This window comes from Homo sapiens, chromosome 1, assembly GCF_000001405.40.
Source record: "Homo sapiens chromosome 1, GRCh38.p14 Primary Assembly".
Classification (NCBI taxonomy): Eukaryota; Metazoa; Chordata; class Mammalia; order Primates; family Hominidae; genus Homo; species Homo sapiens.
Window position 1 is genome coordinate 197,335,067 of NC_000001.11, and position 26,161 is coordinate 197,361,227.

General features: G+C 37.8%; 1 protein-coding gene across 14 annotated transcripts in view; it reads left to right on the forward strand.

Annotated features, from left to right (window-relative positions):
* Nucleotides 1–26,161, forward strand: part of CRB1 (crumbs cell polarity complex component 1) — a 276,952-nt gene that overhangs the window by 133,563 nt on the left and 117,228 nt on the right. For 10 of the 14 annotated variants that reach the window (NR_047564.2, NR_047563.2, NM_001257965.2 and 7 more), the window contains 3 exons: nt 9,215–9,410; nt 12,274–12,413; nt 21,765–21,947. Coding sequence is in view for 11 of the 14 variants with exons in the window: in NM_001257965.2 (NP_001244894.1) it covers nt 9,215–9,410; nt 12,274–12,413; nt 21,765–21,947 (519 nt within the window). In the remaining 3 variants the exon portion in view is untranslated. Of the gene's footprint in view, nt 1–9,214; nt 9,411–12,273; nt 12,414–21,764; nt 21,948–25,322; nt 25,414–26,161 lie in introns of those variants that run through there. The other 4 variants (NM_001193640.2, XM_047416574.1, XM_047416575.1 and 1 more) reach the window with 3 other exon arrangements.

A 26,161-nucleotide genomic window follows, 5' to 3' on the forward strand; every position in this document is an offset into this window, starting at 1 on the left:
GGGAACCAAGGAAATGTCTTGTGGAATAGCATTCCAGGCAGAGGAACAGCAGATGCAAAGGCCCTGAGGTAAAGAGTCCTTGCAATGTTTGAGGAGCAGCAATAAAGTTAGTGTGACTGGAGTGAAGGAGGAAGGAGATAGGTCAGAGCAATAATGAGGTCAGACTGTTTGGGACCTTGTAGGCCATTGTAAGGACTTTGGCTTTTACTTTAAGTGAGATGGGATGTTATTGGAGAGTTCTGAGCAGAGAACTGAAATGATTTGACTTACATTTTAACAAGGTCACTCTGCTTATTATGTTGAAGATACACTGCAGGGGGCGATAAGCATGGAATTCAAGTGTCTAAGGGAGGTTAATACAATAGTCCAAGAAAATCCACTCCTTGTGGGAGAGAAGAGTGAAAGAGACCTATCAAGTTTTTTGTTTCTTTTTGTTTTAATTTTTTTTTTCAGATGGAGTCTCTCTCTGTTGCCCAGGCTGGAGTGCAGTGGTGCAATCTCGGCTCGCTGCAACCTCCACCTCCCAGGTTCAAGCAATTCTCCTGCCTCAGCCTCCTTAGTAGCTGGGAGTACAGGAGCGTGCCACCACGCCCAGCTAATTTTTTGCATTTTTAGTAGAGATGGCATTTCACCATGTTAGCCAGGGTGGCCTCGATCTCCGGAGCCTGTGATCCGCCGCCTAGGCCTCCCAGAGTGGTGGGATTACAGGCATGAGCCACCTCGCCCGGCCCCTATCAAGTTTTAACAGTAACTTTCTCCCCTCCCTGTTCCACCCTTAACATTTAAGATGGAAATTAACAAAGAAGGATCATGGATCATGCAAACAAAATGAAAGCATGCCTTTCTCTCTCTGCCCTCTATTGCCCTCTGATGGCAATGTCTAGATTATTCAGAACAAATCTGTCCTTTAGAATATTCTAACAAGAATGCAGTCTTTCTTAGTAGCTTCTGTCCACCATATTGCCATGCAGTGTCTTTCACGTACACAACTGCAACATATTTTACCTCCCTGGGTTACATGATGGTTACTCATTTAAAGTGTCCTATCAGCACTTCTTTTACTTTTAATGATAATTCCTGTTCCTCTTGGGCCTTCTCCAATAGTCCTCATCCATGCTGATGCATAAGTCTAAGAGGTATGATGTAACTGACACTGCCATTACAGTGGCACATATCAAAGACATAATTCGAATTTCAGTCGTTGTGGAGGTTTGAATCTGGGCTTGGTGTTCTATCTTTTCTAAATATATTTTGATCAACTAAATCACTTTGAAGGCATCTGTGGCAAATAATATAGATAATTTAATGGTCATGGGAAATAATTTGAGGAAAATAAAATATGTTATTAAATATAAGCTTATTTCATGAGAAATAATATTATTATATCAAAGAAAAATGGTTGTTTTTATATGCGCTTAATTATGAAATTGATAATGTTTTATGGTGTCTTATAAAGAAAATTAAACACTTGTTCAGGCTTTTGCTCAGAACTAGAGTCATTTGAAGTAGTTTTTATGAATAAATGAAGTTTCCAGGTTTTGACAAATGTTTGTTGAATGAGTGCACAAAATAACAAATATTCACTCAGCAAATACTTATATTTGCAATGCACTGGGCATTGTGCGGACTTCGGAGATGTAAAAGTGACTAAGATAAAATGTATTCCTGACAAAATGCTCACAAATTATTCTGGGATCAGGAATGTAAACAACAATTACCATCTGTCTATAAACATCATGCTGTGGAAGAACAAAGAAAGAAGCTGGTAATGTTGGTTGGAGTCAGGAAATGTTCCTAGGAAAAAAAATGGCCTATGAGTAGAGCAAAAATGCATCCCTTTCAGAATGTAAAACTGAAACTTGTATCTTCCTCCTACATTTACTATTATTATTTGAACAATAACATGTTGAATATCAAGGGAGAAGGACTGCAGAGATATTTTGGAAAGGTGTTGCTATGATCTGAAAAGTTTGGTCCTTCCAAAATGTATATGTTGAAATGCTGTCCAAGGCGATGAAAAGGTGAGGCTTTTGGGAGGTAATTTGGTCATTGCGGGGAAGCTCTCATAAATAGGCTATGTGCCCTTATAAAAGAGGTCCAAGAGAGATCCCTCACCCCTTCTACCATGTGAGGACATAGAAAGAAATTATAATCTATGAGCCAGAACGACAGCTTTCTCTCTGACATGTGACTGCTATTTCTCCTAGTGCCTACCTAGTTATCAGCAGGGTGTGTGTGCCAGTCCGAATGCAAAGGGGATGAGCCAAAAAATATATAGTAATATAAAGAACGGATGTGGTGGAAAGACAAATTTGGAAGTAGAAGACAGGGATTCCAGGCTCAGCCTAGATGTTCTCTAGTGGTTTGGTACTGATAAATAACAATTATGAACTTCCATTTCCTCATTCAAAGATTGGCATGGTAATACAACCTAACTTTTAGGGTCATGATGAGAATGAAATGGATTAACAAAAGTTTTTCCATAGACTATTTAGGCTATGAAAGAGTTAATTGCCAATATTTCTGTCTCTTAAAACATTGCTACTAATGAATACCTATGGTATCTAAACAATGTTTGCCTTTGTTTTTTACAGGTATCATTTTCTTATATTTGAATTGCATTCAAGTAATCTTATACCTGATTACTTGAAAGTATTATTTTTTGAATACTGTTAGAACCCAACTCAGGAATAGATTAACTGAAGTTCGGTCAAAATCTCTCTGCCACACTTATAAATTTAAAGTGTAATATTTTAATATGTGTAGGCAAGAATTCAACTTCTAAAATGGCCATATCATAAAATAAAGAACTAAGAAATTACTACTATTTTAACAATTTCATATATTTAGGAATAGTAATTATCCTAATGAAGAGAAACATAAGAAAGTAATTTGCTATGATTAAAACATAATTATGGAAGTACGAAAATATATAATGTTTAATACTGATGTATTTAACATAAAATGAGAATGTTGTAATTTTTCTATAATCTTTCAAAAAAACATAAAATTAAAGCATAAACCATTCATAAAAGTAGTGTATTTTTCAAACATAGCATCTTGGAGTCTCTGAAATGGGTTACTCCAGCTTTTAAAATTTGATATATATTTTGCTATTTTCATAATTCTTTTAAAAAGTGTGGGTGTATATATATGTATAAAATATAGAAAGTGTAGGGGGAAAGTCATTCGTTTAACTTGGGAAAATAATATATTACTATCTTGTAAATTTTATGATATTTATGATGCAAGTGAAGTGGGAGAAATGGCATACAGATGGATTTAGAGAAAAATGGCTGGAGAAGAGGAATGAAGAATGAGCTCACAGAATTAGAAGAAACTGTTCTCCAAACAGACAACTGTAATCATTAGATACAAGGAAGTAGGAGAATTTCCTCCCAATGCCCCACTCCTAGGGCTGACAAAGAGAAGACATTCTTTCTCTTCCTAGAATTAGTTTCAGCCTCCATGATATTCTGGGAAGATGGTTTTGAAACTGTCAAGAACATTCTTAAACTTTCACTGATGGTAAAATGGTACCAAAGAGGACACAATGTGAAAAGGATTAAGAAAACCTGAAAAAAATGTTTAATATGGAAACCACAGGTTATTACAGTTTTGTCTAGCAGTAAAGCAAAACTTGTAGAAACAAAAAGGATTATAATAGTCACAATAACAAAATAATAAAATATAATCAAATAGTTAAATAAAATAATGACAAAGCATTAATAATATTTATAAAGACAAATTTTCTGTATCATCAGATTTAATACATCATCAGTCTTACATACATTTCAGATATCATTAAGAAAGAAAAATTATTTGGTTAAGTTGTAACAAGAGGCTAAGGCACTGCTGATTGTAAAGTGCATCTCGGTTCTAGAGAGTTAAAAATGTGAGGGAGTAAAAAAGGAGTCAGAATTGACAAAATTCGGCAGTCCTTCAGAGATAGAATCCTGGGCTTGTAAAATCTGCTTTAAGTGAATGATTCAAAAAGAGAATTTTGTTATTTTTGGTGTCCTTAGGAAAGGTGTGTCTAAATTCACAAGCCAGAAATCTCATTGGCTAAAACGCCAAAGATGTTCCCACTGAAAATAATAATTATCCACGTTTAATCTCTTACAACATCTTGCTAAACATTGTTATGCTTATGTTATTAATCAGAGCAGGAAGTCATCCAGCCTCTCCTTATTGCTTTAGGATGTTAAACAGATTGACTATAATATCTAGGAGGAGAACTTACTGTAAATCTATCACTATAATGAAAACCGAATGCTACAGTTCCACATTGCTCTGATACTTGTGTCACCGACTTGCACTGATAACTGTTGTACTTGATATACATAAAAAGCCCCAAAATAGCATACATAATTATTATTCAAAAGAAAAATATTATGCATAGAGGCCTGTTAGGCATCACATACATTGAATGGAATTTGAAATTTAAGATGATAGTCTGAAGCCAGACTACAATTATTTCCAAAGCGTGGACTCTGCAGATAATGAGAAAGGCATTCAGAATGGTTTATCAACACCTTGCTGCGTGCATGGTGTGCTCCCTGCCCACTGTAAAGAATGATGAAGACAGCGTCAAAGTCAAGACCTGTTCCATCCTGATAGGATATAATGTCCATTATCTTGTGGCACGGAATCTTAACATGGATCTCTAAATGCCGAAAGATGCCAATTGGAGTGCAAAGTCTCTAAATACTGATCACAAGTTTGGGGCACAATCATTCTGAAACCATAATAGGTTTTAAACATTTGCCAAAGCCACAAATTTGACTTTTGGGCTTTTGATTTATGGCTTGTGGAAGCACTGAGAAGCTCTGTTTGGCATACAGTTTGCCTTCCTGTAGAGGTGGTTGATTATTCCATAGCTGTGACTTGATTATTCATGCATTCAACATTTATTGAGCACTTTTTAAATATTCAAGAATATGTGCTAAATGCCACAGATATTGGTGTTAAAGGTCAAAGGCCCTGACCTCAAGGAGCTCACAATTTTGTAGATAAAATAGAAAAATAAGCAATTGAGGACAATATATATAGACATTTATATTAAGGGGAATTTTGAGAGCACAGTGAAGCAGCATTAGAGGCAAATATAAGTAACTATAGTTTCCAGAATCATGGGATACACAAACTGGATATTTGGGAACTAACTGGAGCTAGCCTGGGGAAGGAGGGAGTGAGGAGTGGGGCATTACAAGTAAGGGAAATACCTATATGCAGCCTGGAGTCTTGAGATACAGTGGAGCTGTGAGGCCACTGCTGTGGGTGGCACCAGTAGAATCTACATCTTTTAGAAGCTTCTACTGCATTACAAGGCAATTATGCTTTATTTCAGAGACAGGGAGATAGAGAGGGGATGATGTCAAAAATTTAAGCAGACGAGGGTACAATTATATTTGTACTTTATAGTGATCACATTTCTATAGAAATGTAGAGAGTGATTGCGAAAAGAGAAGTCAATAATAGTGAGAGCAGATGAGACATGATGAGGGTTGAATTAAGGTCACAGCAATAAGGATGGCACCTTAGATCCATTTCTAAGAGAGAGATGATGAGATCTGATGACTAATTAGGACACGGGGAATAGTGGCAAATAAGATGATAACTCCTAGAACTATGGCTTGGATGACCTGGATGATAATACCATTCACTGAGAGGAGAGTTTTGGCAGGGATGGGGGTGGCGCAAATCAGCACAGGTGGGGAGATGAAGGTTATCATTATTTGGAATTGTGGAATGATGCCTGTATTAGTCCATTTTCACTCTGCTAATAAAGACATACCCTAGACTGGGTGATTTATTTAGGAAAAAGGTTTAATTAACTCACAGTTCCACATGGCTGGGGAGGTCTCGCAATCATGGCAGGAGGTAAGGAGGAACAAGTTGCGTCTTACATGGATGGCAGCAGGCAAAGAGAGAGCTTGTGCAGGGAAACTCCCCCTAATAAAACCATCAGATCTTGTGAGACTTATTCACTATCACAAGAACAGCACAGGAAAGACCTGCCCCCATGATTCAATTACCTCCCACAGGGTCCATCCCATAACACCTGGGAATTCAAGATGGGATTTGGATGGGGACACAGCCAATGCCTGTGAGATAACTCAATGCCATTGAGATCTCAATGCCTGTGAGATAACTGAAGAAGACATTCTAGACGGTATCAGGAGGATGATCTGGGCCAGACGCAGTGGCTCATGCCTGTAATCCCAGCACTTTGGGAGGCTGAGGCAGGCGGATCACTTGAGGTCAGGAGTTTGAGACCAGCCTGACCAACATGGTGAAACCCCATCTCTACAAAAAATACAAAAATTAGCCAAGCATGATGGCATGCGCCTGTAGTCTCAGCTACTTGGAAGGCTGAGGCATGAGAATTGCTTAAACCTGGGAGGCAGAGGTTGCAGCGAGCCAAGAAAGCACCACTGGTGGCAAAGTGAGATGAGTGAGACTCCATCTCAGAAAAAAAAAAGAAAAGGGTGATCTGGTCTGGAGGTACAGAATGCTAATGTATATCTACATTCGCTTATGTGAAAACGTCACAGGGAAAAATCTTTCTGACTTCTGTGAGAATGATCACCTGTTTCTCTACCTATAGTCTCTTCTCAACTACGAATAGATAAACCAAACATTTTTTTTCCCAATGCACCTTTAATCCCATGGCTTTTGCTGAAACTTGGCATTTATTCAATGAAACCACTTTCCACACAATCCTCTTTGAAGAGTCCTTATCTCCATGATTCATTCTTAAGGCCAAGAGGGAAGGTTGGCTTTCTTGCTGAAACCACTGTTCCCATGAGTCCACTAGTGGGACATTTAACTTCAGTTTTAAAAGGATGGCTTCCTTGGGTGGACAAGGGGGAAAAAGCATTCCAGACAGAGATCAGTGTATACAAAAACTTTGAGTGGTAGAGGTATATGGTAGGTTTGAGGAAAAGCAAACAGTCTGGTATGACATATGACTAGCATGTAGAATGATGACAGAATTTTAATAGGAGCCATTGGAATTGTATGGACCATGCTTTTGGAATTCTGTGAGCTTCTTATTCTCAGTCACCTTCATCTTTATTCCACTGCAGCCATACATTGATCCAATTTCAAGTTAGACCCTGGCGTCATTCAAACCTGCTTTACAACAGAAATTGTCACCACATCCTGAGGCTTCTCATTTCCTTTCTACTATTGAATTTTTAGCAGAACCTCTGTCGCCTGGCCTTTCCATACCCATACTCTCTCTCACTCCTTCTCTATCTTGACATCTCCCCAACAATCATGGACTTAATGAGAAGCATCTCAAGAATGTGTCTGTCATTGCTCTCTAAACATTCTTGTTTTTGACCTTCAACTTTCCAGTAGTGGAAAGCCCCATTTTCTACCTTCTTCTCGTCTAGCTGTAAAGCTATTAATCCACTTCAAATATTTATTACCTAATTTTAGCTATATATTTGCTATTGCTTTGTGGCTTTTTCTACATTAATTGTTGATTTTTTTAAATGGTATTTGACACGCTGGCTGCTCCAAATTTTTCCAGTCTCTATATTTTATACTCCCAGTAATGTCATTTATATTTATTGATAAGTGAATTTAAGGTTATTCTAAATTCTCTTTTAGAGTTGTCTTTGCTTCCAGTCACTTTTCAAACATTTTTTATTCTACCTACCCTGAAGAATTAAGGGTGGAATGCAGGAAATGACAAACACACTATAGTAATACCTACCATTGATGTAGCATTTACTGTATCCAACCTCGTTGTTAGTAGTGATAGAGCAGAGCTCAGTCCTGGATGGTCTGTCAAAAAAATTTATGTTCTTTCCACTCTTCCATGACCTTAGTTATGCCAAGTAAAATAGCCATGGAAAATCTCATTCACAGACTGCAGTAGAAATAGCTAAGCCTCAAAGAGCAAGCCACTTACCTAGAAACAAGTGCTATTGCAAAAATTTCCATTTTCACCGACATAAATTTAGAGTTTTTTATTTTTTAAAAAACAATCAAATTTAATATGCTAGCTTCTCTTTTAAGTTGGTTATTTGTTGAATCTAGTAACAGTTGTAAATAATAGATGGTGTTAGAATATCCTGCTGCATTTTCTGTAGAGAAAAATGGGCACAAATCAATTGAACTACTACTGACTTCTGAGTTTTTTGAAAGTCTTTTAATACCATTTTAATATATAATTTATTATTTGGGGTTAGAAACAAAGAAATAAAGATGGATAAGTATAGATATTCTTCCTTTTGTGTCTTTTAAAACCTGTATGCAAATGCAATTATTGCATATCAAATACTATTTTGGCACTTAATAAAATAGTTTGTTATTTAAATACTACTACAACTTGTATAAATCATAAACTTATTTTGCTTAGCAAATAATACCTACTAATTTTGGGGGGATAAGTACAGTTTTTTTTTAACATAACATTACCTTAAAATGAAGTGTTAATAGCTTCTAATGATGCCATTAATTACATTGTCACCAGTTTTTGTATTTAAGGGTAGTATTTTACAAAAAGAAAAATTAAGATAAAAATGTCTATGCAAAATGAGCACTTAGATCAATAATTGCACATTATATTTGTACAATAGATTTTTTGTGGAAAAAAGTGTTTTTTCTCTAGCAAATACTTAGTATGTATCAGGTACTGCTATAAGTACTTTTGAACACATTTAATTAGACTAAGAGTCCTATGAGATAATTACCACTATCGTCTTTTTCACATGAGGAAGCTGAAACATGGAAAGGCTGAGAAGCTTGCCCAAGGTCATACAGCTAATAAGTGGCTGTGCCAGGATCCCGACCCAACTGTCTGGCTTTGGAGTCTGAGCTCTTACCCACTGTTCTCTCTGCTCCTTTACTAAATTAAGTGTTTAAAAATAATGGAAAAACATCGACCAGCCACTTTTAGGCTTCCAACAAAAGTGCAGTTAACAATAAACTTTGTTCTAAAAATGACTTATTTGTTTTCACGGACTAAACACCACAAGCTGTTGTATGCAATAATTCTTTGTAACAGCTGCTCTGCCTTGTGCAACTTCCCACAAGCACACCAAAAGTTAATATCAATTACAATTAAGGGGGAAAGTTATTTTGGGTAACAGAACATTTGACAAGTGCTCTGGTAAACAAAGCATTGTCAAATTGCTAAATTATGAACACTTTGCTAAAACTTTTTCTGTTTTTTCTGTGCTGACTTTTTTAAAAGGTGTAAACTGTGAATTGGAAATTGACGAATGTTGGTCCCAGCCTTGTTTAAATGGTGCAACTTGTCAGGATGCTCTGGGGGCCTATTTCTGCGACTGTGCCCCTGGATTCCTGGGGGATCACTGTGAACTCAACACTGATGAGTGTGCCAGTCAACCTTGTCTCCATGGAGGGCTGTGTGTGGATGGAGAAAACAGGTACATTTTCTCTGGCGTTGGGTGATTGGCTTAGAACTCCCTGACCATGAACTATTTTACCACTCTGTTGAATTTAGAGCTCTCACGTTCTCGGCTTAAAATTTGGGGTGTAACTTTATACTTTAACTGATGAAAACATTCAGATTTCACTAAAAAGGGTATTCTTGGAGACCATCTGTCTCAAGAGGGAAGATTTTACAAGTCATTCTTGTAATAGTTTAGAACTGCTTATCCTATGGAAAATGGCCAATTTTTCAATTCCATGAAATAAAGCTGTTGTAGATAGGAAAGGTGCAAAAACAGAGCTAGAGATTATTATATATGTGTACATAAGTTTGTATCTATATGTCAAGGATATAAATCAGATGACAGCAATAAATCCTTTTAAAGTGTTATATAAACCATGTTGGAAAAGGCAGTGATATTTAATTACTTATATCTTGAATTAATTTCCATGTGTTCAGGGAATTGGGTGAATATTTTTGAGAAAGCATAATGGCGAGAAATAGCCATGTGATTCTGCTTCAAATTGAAGTCTATCATTGGCTTTCAGGCAAAATAGAACAGCAATAAATTACATCTCAATATGATGAATATAATAAATGTGTGTAACAGTAATTGAGCTCATATAAAACATTTTTAAAAGAACTTTCTAATACTTATTTAAGCCACGACACTGAAGAACTTTCTAATCTTTATTTAAGCCACGATGCTGAGTTACCAAATACATAACAATTTTTAACAAGATTAGCACTTAAAATTATCGTTTGATTCTTCGACAGCTCAGTGGAAGGCAAGATAAGTATTTATGTTTCCATATTACAATAAGGAGTCTAAAGTTTAGGGAAATGAGAAGACGCCCGCAAGTTCACACAATTAATTCTTTGCAAAAGGAAGACCAGAATGGTTTTCCTTTATTTAGTAAATAAGACATAATTTATGCCAAATCTAATTTCAAAGTGAATCAGAGTCAAAAGGAGAGCAATAAAAGGCACATATGCTTCAAAAATTTGCAAAAATAATGACTTTTTTTTTTTTTTTTTTTTTTTTGAGATGGAGTCTTGCTGTGTCACCCAGGCTGGAGTGCAGTGGTGTGATCTTGGTTCACCGCAACCTCCGCCTTCCGGTTCAAGCAATTCTCCTGCCTCAGTCTCCTGAGTAGCTGGTATTACATATGCCCACCACCATGCCTGGCTAATTTTGCTATTTTTAGTAGAGATAGGGTTTCACCATGTTGGCGAGGCTGGTCTCGAACTCCTGACCGCAGGTGATCTACCTGCCTCTGCCTCCTGAAGTGTTGCGATTACAGGTGTGAGCCACTGCACCTGGCTCTCAAATTTTAATAGAACAATGTGGTTGTACATTCTTTTTAAAATATAACTTTTAATTACATTCCATGTCTTGCCTTTGACTTTTAGTTGTACCCCAATAATGCTCTAGGGGCATAAATCTACATTCCTGGAGACAGGTAACTGGCCAACACAGAGACAGACAGGTCACAATGGAAGTTTCCACACAAGGCCTCCTAGAGGAAAAGGAGGCTTACCCTTCCATACTTCACTGTTTCCAGAAAGCATCAGGACAGAAACGACACAACTTTTTGATTCCAATGGAAATGTAAACAAGGCTGAAACTTTGCTATCTTTTATTCTCCTCACTTGAATATGCCATGAATAATTTCCCTATTGTACCATTATCTCTTATTGCCTAAATGTTGAGATGATAGTCATAAGATCAATCCAATATAACCTGACTTTATGTTCCCACAAAAATTTAAAATGTTTGCTATGAGATACATTGGAAAATCAGAACTGAAAAAAAAAAAAAGAACTTCTTGCATACCAAAGGAATTATGCAAATGGAGCTTCTAATTCCGTGAGGTCCACTAGTCAGCCAGCCAAGCCCTTTGGCAACAGGGTTTTTGTCGCTAATGTTTTACCTATACTAGATTTTTAGTAGGTATTTTTTAATTGAACAAATGGAATACTGAATAGATTTCTAACAACACATATGAAGATTACAGTCACTTACAATATTTGGTTTGGTGATAAAAACACACACAGCCATAGCGAAGAGGACTCTACCTGCCTTATAAATTCATAGATATTCTTTTCCCAAGACCCTCATTTTGCCTAAGCTGAGTGTGCAGGTACATTTTTTACAATACTAAATCCTTGAGGAGACCCCGACCTAAATTAAAAGTCTCCTCTTAATAAAATCAACAACTTTCTTCATTAGATTTGTATTTTGGGGCTATTTGATAATTCCAGTCATTCCGTTAATAATTAGAAATAGTAAGGCCTAAATATTCTTGCAATCTAAAAATAAGAGAACATCGTAAGTCACAATTCATTTAATAAAGGCTTTTCCTGAGTTTTTCATAATTTATGGTTTCACTTTTCATATGGAACCTTATTAATGGGCTCTCTGTATAACAGAGTGCCATGATGGTATAAATCATTCTCTACCACCTTAAAAAATATTAACAATTTTATTAAGTGCTATTTAGTAGCAACATATTTAGTACTTCAGATATGTGGAATACTGTGTCTATTCTTTATATGCATACTTAATTGTCACAATAACCTTGTAATATAGGTACTATATTCAATTTATGAATGAAGAAACTGAACTAAATAGTCATGGTTTGCATGACCCTGTACTTTAAATTTTTTAAAGTTAATAAGACATTAATATGGAAATAAATCATGCATTCAGTCCTGTATAGATAATTCCCCAGAGTTTTTGAGGTAGTAAGATGATGCCATGGGTCTTGGGTTGATAGACAGTTGAAGAAACAGTATAAAGATATCTGATCTCAATATGACTAAGAGTTGACATGAAAATTTCATTTACTTTCCAGATATAGCTGTAACTGCACGGGTAGTGGATTCACAGGGACACACTGTGAGACCTTGATGCCTCTTTGTTGGTCAAAACCTTGTCACAATAATGCTACATGTGAGGACAGTGTTGACAATTACACTTGTCACTGCTGGCCTGGTGAGTGACAAAATACCTTCCACCAATTATTTTTCATTTGTTTAGAATACACATATCGCTTATAGCAAATGAAATGAAAAATTATTGTTGTTAAATGTTTTAAATCAATTTCTTCTAGCTAATATTGTTTAGTTTTATTCTTCAGTGCTCACACATATTTACTGCTATACTAAATGTTGTCTGAAGTAGGTTACCAAGCTGCCCAATGATCATAACCCTCTAGAGGAATAGAAGGGAAAAATCAATGGAAAGATGAAATTCAGCATGATCTTCATGGAGAAAAATTCACTGGAAGATGCTCTTTTCTTCCAAGATGTTCTCTTATATGGCAGGAATATATAGAAATCCATGAAATAATGTTAAACTATTAGAAACTTGTATTCTCTTAGGCATTTGTAAAGAGTTATATTTGTTAATATAATAAAAAGTTAATTATCTATAAACCATAATTAAAGTTTACATATAGAGGATAATTAGACGAGTATAGAGGTGATACAAGAATCAATAGAAAACAGTATGTAACATTTGTGTTACATTACAGGCCATAGGCAAATATTGATGCTAATTTTGCAAAACAAACTGCCTGACATACAGCTTTGCATTGCATAACAACATTTTGGTCAATGACGGACCACATATACAACCGTGGTCCTGTAAGATTACAATAGAGCTGAACAATTCCTACTGCCTAGTGATGTCATGGCTGTCTTAACATTGTAGTATCACTCACTATCCATGGGATTGTGGTGGTCCCTCAGGAAGTATTCCAAAAGAACGCATTGTTGTCATAGGAGATGACAGCTTCATGTGTGTTATTGTTGCTGAAGACATTTCAGTGGGACAAGATGTGGAGGTAGAAGACAGTGATATTGATAATCCTGACTCCATGTAGGCCTAGACTATGGTGTGTGCTTGGTTCTTAATTTTTAATAAAAGGTTTAAAAGCTTAAAAAATTCAAAATAGAATAAGATGTAAAGAAATTATTTATTGTTTATTTATTTATTTTTATTTTTTGAAACGGAGTCTCTCTCTGTCGCCCAGGCTGGAATGCAGTGGTGTGATCTCCGCTCACTATAAGCTCCGCCTCCCGGGTTCACACCATTTTCCTGCCTCAGCCTCCCGAGTAGCTGGTACTACAGGTGCCTGCCACCATGCCCGGCTAATTTTTTGTATTTTTAGTAGAGACGGGGTTTCACTGTGTTAGCCAGGATGGGCTCAATCTCCTAACCTTGTGATCCGCCCGCCTCAGCCTCCCAAAGTGCTGGGATTACAGGCATAAGCCACTGCGCCTGGCCCATAAAGAAATTATTTTATACAGCTGTACATGTGTTTGTGATTTAAGCTAAGCATTATTTAAGAGCCAAAAGGTTTAAAAATTTGAAAAATTTATAAAGTAAAAAAGTTCTAGTACACTAAGGTTAGTTTTTAAGACAGAAAATTTTCTAATAAACCTAGAGTAGCCTAAGCATACAGTATTTATAAAATCTACAGTAGTATACAATAATGTTGTAGGCTTTCACATTCATTCATTACTCATTGACTCTCAAGAGCAACTTCCAGACCTCCAAGCTCTATTCATGTTAGTACCCTACACAGGTGTACCACTTAAAAAAATCTTTTATACTGTGTTTTTATTGTACCTTTTGTATGTTTAAGTATGTTTAGATACACAAATACCATTGTGTTTCAATTGCCTACAGTATTCAGTACAGTAACATGCTGTACAGGTTTGTAGCCTAGCAGCAATAGACTATACCCTATAGCCTAGGTATGTAGTCAGCTATAACATTTAGGTCTGTATAAGTACACTCTATGATTTTCACACCATGATGAAATTGTGTAATGACTTACTTCTCAGAACAAATGTTTGTCTTTAAGTGATGCATGACTCTTTTTTAAAATCTAATTCTCATTAGGATTTTTTGATAAAAATAAAAGACACAGCATCTCCTATCTCCTCTTGCTTTATTTACTGGGAAAAAATGATAAACTTATGATTACTCAAGGCCTAGTTATATAAGCTTACTGATCATCTGTCTCTCTCTCCCCACTAACTTTATTGTCTAAGAAAATGATAATCTTGTGGGTGGAAAGGAAACCTGGAGACTAGTCAATCTAATCAGTAGTAGCTTCTGGTTGAAAGATATCCTATTGCCTAAGAGACATTTAACATCTTTGGTTAAATACATTTTATAGGAAAAATAAATGAAAATATAAAATGAAGTTTGGAATGCTGTGGCTTGGAAATCTATATATGTTATGTCTTCCCACTTGCAGATAATAAATGAGGAATATTTGCTAACCTTTGGTCATCAACTTGACTTAAAACTGAAAATTTGGCTGGGCGCGGTGGCTCACGCCTGTAATCCCAGCACTTTGGGAGGCCGAGGCGGGTGGATCATGAGGTCAGGAGATCGAGACCATCCTGGCTAACAAGGTGAAACCCCGTCTCTACTAAAAATACAAAAAATTAGCCGGGCGCGGTGGCGGGCGCCTGTAGTCCCAGCTACTCGGGAGGCTGAGGCAGGAGAATGGCGTGAACCCGGGAAGCGGAGCTTGCAGTGAGCCGAGATTGCGCCACTGCAGTCCGCAGTCCGGCCTGGGCGACAGAGCGAGACTCCGTCTCAAAAAAAAAAAAAAAAAACCTGAAAATTTTCCAAACTATGTAGTTTCATGTTCTTGTCACCAACCAACACTCATGAAAGATCTCTGTCCAGAAGCAGAGGGCGGAGTGGATGGTTTAGGAGTAGGATATGTTTCCTGTTTATTAACTGAGTGAACTCGGGTGAGTTTCCTCTTCATCTCTAAGTTCCTCATCTGCAAAAGAGGGATAAAAATACTTTACTTGTAGTATTATTATGAAAAGTAAAATTGTAAAAATAGAGCCTTGCACATATTAAGCACTCAAAAAAGGGCAACTATGTAGCAAATTCTATACCATGAGGTGGAAATTATGTAGGAGGGCGAGAGTTTGTAATGGAGTCAGGCAGTTAAGAACATCTACCTCAAGAAACCCAATTAGTACATGTTCCATTCATTCATGGATTCAAGCATTTAAGCCACATGGATTTCAGTGGCTAATACAATAGGGATCTGGGAATATAAAAGGTATCGTCCCTTCCTCCAAGGAGCCTAAATTCTAGTAGCGAGACATATGTCAAAACGTATATAGTACAATTTTTGGTACAATAAGAGGCTATACTAAATTCTGTAAAAATGAATAGAGAAGAAGTGCAGGGATAGCTTGATCAAAGAGGCACCATTTTAGATAAGCTAAAGATGACTAAGTTCCATAAATGTATTCACTAGCTGTGTGACTTTGGACAAATTACTGCTCTGAGCCTCAGTTTCCTCATTTATAATATCCACAGGATGGAGCTGTTTCAGAGATAAATCCAGTAATGTATATAAAACTCCTGGCTTATCCTGGACCACAGTAAGCACTAAGTAAAAGTTAAATAAATATCAAAATTAGGAAGTTGTGTAGTCCATTACTTATTTAATAAATGAAGAACGGAAGGAGAAGAGGAAAGAAAGAAGCAAGAAAGGTGGCAGGCACCCATAGAAAAGAGCATGTCTGGCTGGGCGCCTTGGCTCACACCTGTAATGCCAGCACTTTGGGAGACCAAAGCAAGCAGATCACTTGAGGTCAGGAGTTTGAGACCAGCCTGGCCAACATGGTGAAACCCCATCTCTACTAAAAATACAAAAAAAAAAAAAAAAAAAAAAATTAGCCGGGTGTGGTGTTGCATGCCTGTAGTCCCAGCTACTCAGGAGGCTGAGGCAGGAGAATCACTTGAACCTGGGAGGCGGAGGTTGCAGTGAGCCGAGATCGCGCCACTGCACTCCAGCCTGTACTCCAGGGCGAGAGGGTGAGACTTGGCAAAAAAAAAAAAAAAAAAAAAAGGAGAAGAAAAGAAAAGAGAAAAAAAGAAAAGAGCATGTCCAATTGTGGAACTTTGAATGATTGCAAAAATACTGGACTGTGTAGGGCTGGAGGTAGAAACATTGAACTGGGGAGCAGGACTAAAGCCAGATCACAAAACTCCATATCTGCCCTGCCAACTACGGGGCAGAGAAATAACAAAATTTGCTTTGTTAATTTCAAAAGAGTTCCCTGGCTTCATGGCAGATGATCAAAGAAAATAACACTAAAGGCAGGGAAATCTAGTGAGTAGATTCCTAGGTAGTTTGAAGAGATGAGCCTGTTTGCTAGAACGAAGACAACAGTGGTTAAGGTTGGGGCGAGGGGTAGTCCTGAGAGTCACATAGGAGCTGGAAATGATGTGGGGAGTGAGAAAAGGGCACAGGTTTAGGACAGTTCTGCCTCTGGGTTTCTGCCTTGGGTTACTGCATGGATGGTAATTTTGCCTAGATAGAACATCCTGAATACCCTTGTAACCTATCTTGCTGTTGTATACAAAGATAAAAGTTAACACTACAAACTACTCTATATCTAAGAAAAGGAGACCATTTCTTCAGCTCATGACTTCACTGCCACAGAACACAATGGCAAGAATCCACTGATGTAATTGCCTAGGGTCCTCATTTCAGAAGTAATTAATAATTACAAGAAGTGTCAGTCACCTTAAATGCTTACTTTCAAAGATTTCCTGATGCCCAGATGTGATTGGAATTGTTAACAAACATAATATAAGAACCCCAGGGATGTGACTCAGTATCATGTTGTTTATTTGTTCAGAGTTTTACAGAAAAATTTGTTAAAACTATTGAATACAGTCTTGACTGAAGGAGTCTATTTATATACATGGTTAAAGAAAGCAGCAAATAAAATCCCCACAGGGCCTCAGTGTTGGGGACAGGACTGGCAAGACTATAAATCAGAATCTTCCTAATGTTCACGATTGGAATGAGATAATGCATGAGCCAGAAAAGCAAAAAAAGGATTTATGATGATTCTAAATTACTCCCTAACCTGGCTTATGTGTGTCTCGAGTCTTAGAATGAGAAGAAAATTGAAAATAGTCCAGCCTTTCTTCAATAAGTCCATTGTGGCACAACAAATACCAGTTAATAAAAACTTATTGTAAAAACTATTATTTAATGTATTTGAAGAACCTTAAGTATGAAATAATAATATTCAAAAGGTAGACATTCAAGTTTAAGAGACTCTGAATGATCTTTGTTGCGGGGGGTCACTACAAAGGATTGTTGGGTCTTGATCTGACATGTTATTTTACTTTCCTTTTTTTTTTTTTTTTTAACTTTTTGACTCTAAGTTTCTTCTTCAGATTGTTGAGAAAGGCCCCAAGGGTCTTTTTGTAAAAAATATATTACACTGTTGAGCTGCAGAATTTATGTTGTGGTTATGATTTAACATATGATCTCATTTAGGTGTTTATTAAAACTAATACAAAATGAGCAAACACATTACAATCTCATTATTTGCTTATTAATAGTCAATTCCCTGGTTTATGTGCTAAACTAGGATTATAATCTAAATTGTTATTTTCAATCTTTGAGTAGTACTAGTGATTGAAGGTCTACTGCTTACATATTGCTCAGTCCTGGACTGGTAAATAAAATGAACACAGTCTCTGTTTTGTGAAGCACACAGCCTGCTGAGGGAGGAAACCATATACACAAATCAATATATATTTAAAATTACAATGAGAGCAATGAAAGAAAAGAATTGGGTGGCATGAGAGAAAATAAGGGGATCTTATTTATATCTGCCCATGATGGAAAGTTATTCTGAGAAAGCAATACAAGATAAAGTCTGAAAATTGAGTAAGAGTTAGCCAAGAAAACACTTGAAGGAGAGTTTTCTAGAAGAGAGAAAAACATCACGAAGGCTGTGGGAATGCAGGGAGTTTTTACAGTTATGTTAAGGATGTTGAATTCCTTTCTATGTGAAAGGGGAAGTTGTTGAATGATTTTAAAGTAAACACATACTATGATTTAGTTTACAAGTTTTATAATTCTCAACTGTAAATTGTTTCCAAAACATTTCTCAGCAGAGTTAAATGATATTGCAAAGGGCCTTAGGCGACTGTGAAGTTGAATTGTGTTTCTTTAAAAATATGAGGTGGCTCACGCCTGTAATCCTAGCACTTTGGGAGGCCGAGGCGCGTGGATCACCTAAGGTCAGGAGCTCGAGACTAGACTGGCCAACATGGTGAAACTTCGTCTCTACTAAACATGCAAAAATTAGCCGGGCATGGTGGCACACGCCTGTAATCCCAGCTACTTGGGAGGCTGAGGCAGGAGAATCACTTGAACCCAGCAGATGGAGGCTGCAGTCAGCCAAGATCACACCAATGCCCTGCACCCTGGGCTACAGAGTGAGACTCCGTCTCAAAAATATATAAATAAAAAAAAAAAAAAAAAAAAAAACTTTATACATTTCTTTTACCACGTTACAAAACACTTGATATTATCCTATTGACCATCAGTGTTATATGTGCATCCTACTAAATTTACATTTTGGGGCGAGCAGTATACATAGTATATAAATACTCTTACAAATCAATATGGAAAACAACCTAATGAAAAAAACAGGAAAAAATATGAAATGGTAAAAAAAAAAAAAAACACCCCCAAAATGTTCAGCTCAATATTAACTGGGGAAAACGTAAACCAAAGTAACAGTGAGATACTATATTTTATCCAACCAGCTGGTAAAATTTATATATTTGGTGATAGCAAAGGTTGGCAAACGTTTTGAGCCACATTCACAATCATCCACTGCTGGTAATGTGCAAATGGTACAACTAGAGATGTTTGGCAGCTTTTATTAAAATTAAAAATGTACATTACTTATGACCCACAAATTCCATCTCTAGGCATAAACTGTAGGGTTAAACTCAAAACGCTTACACAGACAGCCATGTATAATTGTGTCCGAAATTGGTGGGTTGTTGGTCTGATTGACTCTTCAAGAATGAAGCCACAGACCCTCGCAGTGAGTGTTACAGTTCTTAAAGATGGGGTGTCCGCAGTCTGTTCTTTCTGATGTTCGGACGTGTTCAGAGTTTCTTCTTTCTGGTGGGTTCGTGGTCTTACTGGCTTCAAGAGTGAAGCCGCAGACCTTTGCAGTGAGTGTTACAACTCTTAAGATGGCACGTCTGGCCGCGTCTGGAGAGTTGTTTATTCCTCCTGGAGGGTTCGTGGTCTTGTTGGTCTCAGGAGTGAAGCTGCAGACCTTCATGGTGAGTGCTACAGCTCATAAAGTCAGTGTGGACCCAAACAGTGGGCAACAGCAAGAGTTATTTCAACAAGCAAAAGCACAAAGCCTCCACAGTGTACAACATGACCTCAGCACGTTGCCACTGCTGGCTCCAGCAGCCTGCTTTTATTCCCTTATCTGCCCCCCGCCCCCCCACCCCCCCCCCCCGCCCACCCCCCCCCCCCCGCCCACCCACCCACATCCTGCTGATTGGTCCATTTTACAGCGAGCCAATTGGTCTGTTTTACAGAGAGCTGATTGGTCCATTTTGACAGAGCACTGATTGGTGCATTTTCAAACCTCGAGCTAGACACAGAGTGCTGATTGGTGTATTTACAATCCCTTAGCCATAAAGATTCTCCAAGTCCCACTAGATTAGCTAGATACAGAGTGCCTATTGTTGCATCCACAAACCTTGAGCTAGACACAGGGTGCTGATTGATGTGTTTACAAACCTTAAGCTAGACACAGAGTGCTGGTTGGTGTATTTACAATCCCTTAGCTAGACATAAATATTCTTCAAGTCCCCACCAGATTAGCTAGATACAGAGTGCCCATTGGGCATCCACAAACCTTGAGCTAGACACAGGGTGCTGATTGGTGCATCCACAATCCCTTAGCTAGACATAATCCGTACTAGACTCAGGAGCCCAGCTAGCTTCAGCTAGTGGATCCCACGCAGGGGCCGCAGGTGGAGCTGCCCGCCAGTCCCGCGCAGTGCGCTGGCACTCCTCAGCCCTTGGGCGGTTGATGGGACCCGGCGCCGCGGAGCAGGGGGTGGTGCTCATCCTGGAAGCTGGGGCTGCTCAGGAGCCCTGGGGGATTGCGGGGGGCTCAGGCATGGCGGGCTGCAGGTTCCGAGCCCTGTCCTGAGGGGAGGCAGCTGAGGCCTGGCGAGAATTCCAGAGCAGCACTGGTGTGCTGGCACTGCTGGGGGCTCCTGCGTACCCTCCACAGCTGCTGGCCCGGGTGCTAAGCCCCTCAATGCCGTGGGCAGCGGCGCCCACCGGCCGCTCTGAGTTTTGGGCCGGCAAGCCCACGCCCACCCAGAACTCACGCAGCCCCGCAAGCGCCCGTGCAGCCTCGGTTCCCACACACATCTGTCCCTCCACACCTCCCCGCAGGCTGAGGGAGCCGACTCCATTCTCGGCCAGCCCATAGAGGGGCTCCCACAATGCAACGGTGGGCTGAAGGGCTCCTCAAGCGTGGCCAGAGTGGGTGCCCAGGCCCAGGAGGCGCCCAGAGCGAGCGAGGGCTGCGAGGGCTGCCAGCACACTGTCACCTCTCATAATGATATTAATTGCAACATCACAATAGCAAAAATGTACATAAAACAAAGGTTAAACTGTAAGACAATGGTTAAGGCATGGCACATCTATATTCTGAAATACTTGGCAGTAGTTATAAATTGTGAGTTAGATCTATATTACTAACATGGCTAGACTGTGCAAGGGAGTGAATAAAGCAAGTTGCTAAAGAATGCAGATAATACAGTTCCAGTTATGTTAAAACAGTCACATACACTAAAACTGTATGTATTTCTTACAGTTGCTCGTATTTATAAAAGCAAAGAAAAAGTTCAAGTAGAGAACTTTCATTGATATTTAATGTTTTAATTATCTATAAAGTGACAAATCATGTTTTACTGTTCTTATTCCTGGTCCTAATAAAATAATCCAGCTAAGTCCATGCAAATTTAAAACAACCTCTTATTCTGTTTCATTGAATGCTATGAAATAAGGATTTACCTTTACTTTGAGTTTTAAGAGAATTTAGTTTGGTTTTGTGGATATTTGCTGACTTTTCAGCTATTGAAATATTTTTAAATACAAATTCACAAATGAGTATTTGAAAAATTGGAGGCTTTCATTAAAATGTTCAGGTTAAATCCAGGTTATCCTGACATCTAATTTTATTTCAAGTCTTATTAATCAAATTTTTCTTTAAAATTTTTTGGTCAAAATTATTTAAGTGATTTTACTGATACTAGTACTTGTTTCCACTAAGCCTCCTCTTACCAGATTCCCCTTACCAGCTCCTTGAGGGCAGGCACATCAACTTGCTAAATCAATGCCAGTATAGCAGTCAACCTCCTTTTAGGCAAATGCTCTATAATTCAACACCTTTGACTTAGCAGCTTCTCTGAATTTTCATCATGCAGGATACACAGGTGCCCAGTGTGAGATCGACCTCAATGAATGCAATAGTAACCCCTGCCAGTCCAATGGGGAATGTGTGGAGCTGTCCTCAGAGAAACAATATGGACGCATCACTGGACTGCCTTCTTCTTTCAGCTACCATGAAGCCTCAGGTTATGTCTGTATCTGTCAGCCTGGATTCACAGGTGAGGCCAAGGAGATGGGATATGACTTGACTTTCTGGTATTTTATGGCAGACCATGGCTTTAACCAAATGGTGTATTAGCAGGAAGAGCTGTACTGTGTAAACTCTGCTGCTGTGGTGCAAAGGGTCCCCCTTGTGGGCATGAAAAGTATCTTGTTTCACATTTCAGAATTCCTCAAATCACGAGAGAAATATTAAAGAGGGATAAAGGAGGAATGAAAGGGATGACATTTTTATATGCTATACTGGGAACTGGAGTGCATCTCAAGTTCTTTACGTTACACACAGAAAATGTTGAAATTTTTATGCTATCAAATTTGATAATGATGTTAAATTTTATGTTATTCAAATTTGCTAGAAAAGTTATTGTACTTATATTTACACTGGGAAAAATGACCTAGTCTCAAGTAATCTTCCTCAACGATTCTGTAGCTAAAGTCATTCCACATATCAAATTTAAATTACTCTTTTTTTTTCACAACTTGCTTACCTAAAACCCAGAGGAAATTTGCATGTATGTTATCCAATGAACAGTTTTGTATTGTCTGCTTTCTGTTCTGAAAATTTTCAGAATTATTGAGGCATTCCCCAATTCATTAATGGCTAGCAATTTACCTACAATTGCATTGATATCACTGAGAAAACCAATTACAATCTAGATCTCTATCATATTTCTTTCTCAATAGATTAAGTGATGCCTCTGGAAAATATATCAGTTGTTGTTGAGGATTTCTGAGAAAAGTAAATGAGAAATAAGAAAAGAAGGGGGTGTCTATTTACACTTAGGATTCTCTTTCAATGTTTCAGTTTTGAAATTTAATGGTCTTTGATTTGTGGCAGTGTTTGCTGCAAGGTCGATAAAAAAAATGTTTATTTCCTTATTCACTGACCTTTCAAGGAGAACATACAGTAAAAAAATTCCCCAGGTGTCAATATCAGGAAAGTGGTATTTTCCCTGAACAACTTCTATCATGCATGCTTTCCACCCTAGTTTAAAAAATGCATCCAAATAAATCTTGATGTGACTCAACTGATTAAATGCATGAAATAAATCTTGTAATATATAATATTTCCCAATTATGTAAGCTGCTAGAAATAAATATGAGATCTGCAAACATACAGGTCTTTCTGAAATATATTTGTGTATTTACCTCACCTCTGGGGATATTTAAATTTCCTGTTTCTGTTTCTTACTATTGCCTCTTTTCAAAAATTTGTTTCTAAATTATTTGATTTTGGTCTAGTGTATGCATTTTCGTCAGCTACTTTATATTTTTCTTGGAATAAGGTGAAGGCATTATAAATTATTTTTTAAATATTGGTTTTAGGGTCATAAAGGGGTGATTCTGTGAAAGTCAAAGGACATTGCTAATATTACCTCATCAAATAAAAGGAAATGGGTGACCCCTTGAATCTGCAGATCTAAAAGGAGAGACAGTAGAATGTTCCAGAAAAGTGTTGGGCTTGATTTCTGAAGAGCTGCCAGGAATGACTATATGAGTTAAGATGTCCTGACTGCCCCAAATCTCTGTGGCTTAATGCAATGGTTTATGTTTTACTCATGTGAATTCCAAAACTGGGTTCCCATCATCAGTTGTCCTACAAATGGCAATTCAGGGTCACAGGCTCCTCTATGTTTTTCCCCCGCTTCAAAATGTTACTTCCAAATTTGCTGTGCTCTTATGAAGCAAGCTACTGGAGAAGGAAAGAAAATGGAGTGTGACACCTGCAGATTTTATGGGCCAACCACTACAAGTAATGAATATCTCTTTTACCCACATATTACTGGTCAAATGTAATCATGTAACTACATTTAATTGCAGAAAAGACGAGAAAATCTAGTCTTTCTGTGTACCTAAAATAAAGAGAAAATAAGTTTTGCAAACAGATAACCAATTTGACACAATAGCTAGAACTGGTACACTGGGGATACGAACCTAGATCTTCTGATTCTAAGTTTATCCTCCTGCCTACTATGTCACATATTTTTATGTCTACACGTTTTTCTATATTTTGTTTTTAAATAACTTTTTAAATGATAATAGTATATTTATGTGCAGTTTTAAGAAATACAGGGAGGCCCATGTATGCTTTACCTAATTTTCCCAATAGTACCATGTTGCAAAACTATAGTTCAGCTATCAGACTTGCATATTGACATTGACAAAGTCCACATCCAGAACAATTATCATCACAAGGATGCCACCTCTCTCCTTCCCTGCCTCCTCATCCCTTATCCCTGGCAAATACTAATCTGTTCTGCACTTGTATAATTTTGTCATTCCAAGAATGTTATATAAATGGAATCATGCAATATGTAAAGTTTTAGAATAAGAGTTTTTTTTTTTTTCCACTCAGCATCATTCTTTGGAGATTTATTGAGGTTGTGTGTATCAATAGTTTGTTCCTTTTCATTGCTAAGTAAAATTCGATGGTATGTATATATCAAAGATTTTTTAACCATTCAGCCATTGAAGGGCATCTAGATTGTTTCAGTTTTCGGCTATTAATTCATAACAGCCGCTGAATAAAGCTGCTAGAAACATTGTTGTACAGGCTTTTGTGTGAATATAAATATTCACTTCTCTAAGGTAAATGCCCAGGAGTAAAATTGCTGGTTCCTATGATAGTTTCAGGTTTAGTTTTCTAAGAAACTGTCAAACTGTTTTCCAGTGTGTCTGTACCATTTTGCATTCCCACCAGCAATGTACGAGTGATCCAATTTCTTTGCATTCTCACCAGCATTTAATGTTATCACTGTTTTTTTTAATAGTCATGTTGATAGGTATGCAGTGATATATCACTGTGGTTTTAATTTGCATTTACCTAATGCCTAGTGATGTTGAACATCTTATATGTGCTTGTTTGACATCTGTTTGTCTTTTGCAGGAAAATGTCACCCCATGTTTTTTGCCTATTTCCTAGTTGAGTTGTTTTTATTTTTTTAACTGTTGAGTAATTTTCCACATACAGACCCTGGGCGTTTTTTGTGAGGTTATACCTAAGTATTTCATTTTCTTTTGAGGGATAGTAAATAGTATTCTGTTTTTAATTCAGTTTCTACATATTCATTATTAGTGTTGGGAAAGGCAGTATTGTGCATGTGGCCTTTGAAACCCCTACTCAGCCACATAAGAATGGGCCTTGGGCCTAGAACACTTCCTTCCCAAGAGATAAAGCGTCCTCGCAGACCATGCTGGAGTTATCACCTTGTGTGGGAATATCTTTCCCTGTTTCAGACTCAATATGTACTCCCTCGTTCTGCTTAAACATATGTATCATATGGCACCTAGCCAGCCCCACTGCTGTAACTTTCTTCTGCGGGGAGGGCAAAAGGTTCTTCTGCTGCAGCATGAAATGGTTGCATGCTGCCAACTGCCCCGCATCTGCTGAAAGGAGGCCCTGCTGTTTATGGGGACTGCTTATGGGGTCACCACATAGCTGACCTTGCTCTGTCTCTTCTCTATGTGAGTAAAGCATTGTTCCATCTAGTACTTGACTGTGTTGTGTTTTCCTTGGTAACTCCAATACTAAAATGCAGTGGCCAAACGTGTCCAGACTTTTACTCCTGGTAATAAGCAACAGATGCCACTTGCCAAAGAGCTAGAACATAAAAATATGATTGTTTCTTGGTTGTTGATTGTGTATAGTGAGACTTTGTTTAACTCACCTATGAGATCTAGGAATTTTCTTTTTGTAGATTCCAGGGCATTGTCTGCATGGACAACTATGCCATCTGCAAAGAGGACTGGTGTTATTTCTTCCTTTACAATATACATGCTGTTTATTTTACTGTGTTGAGTACGAGTTGTGAGAGCAGACGTCTTGCTTCATTCACCATTTTAGAGGGAAAGCATTCAGTCTTTTACCATTAGCTATGAATTTTTATCGATGCTCTTTTTCAAGTTGAAGTAGTTCCTCTCTACTCCTAACTTGCTAAGAGTTTTTAATCATAAATGGGTATTGCATTTGGTCAGATGCATTTTCTGCAATTGATTTATCATGTAAGTTTCTTATTTAGCCTATTGATGTGGTAGATTGCTCTGGTTCATTTTCAAATATTGAACCAGACTTGCACATCTGAAATAAATCCCACTTGGTGTATTTTTTTTCAGTTTGCTAATATTTTATGACTTTTTTGCTTCTAAGTTCATGAAAGTTATTGGTCTATAGTTTTCTTTCTCTCTCTTTTTTTTTTTGTACTGTCTTTGTCTG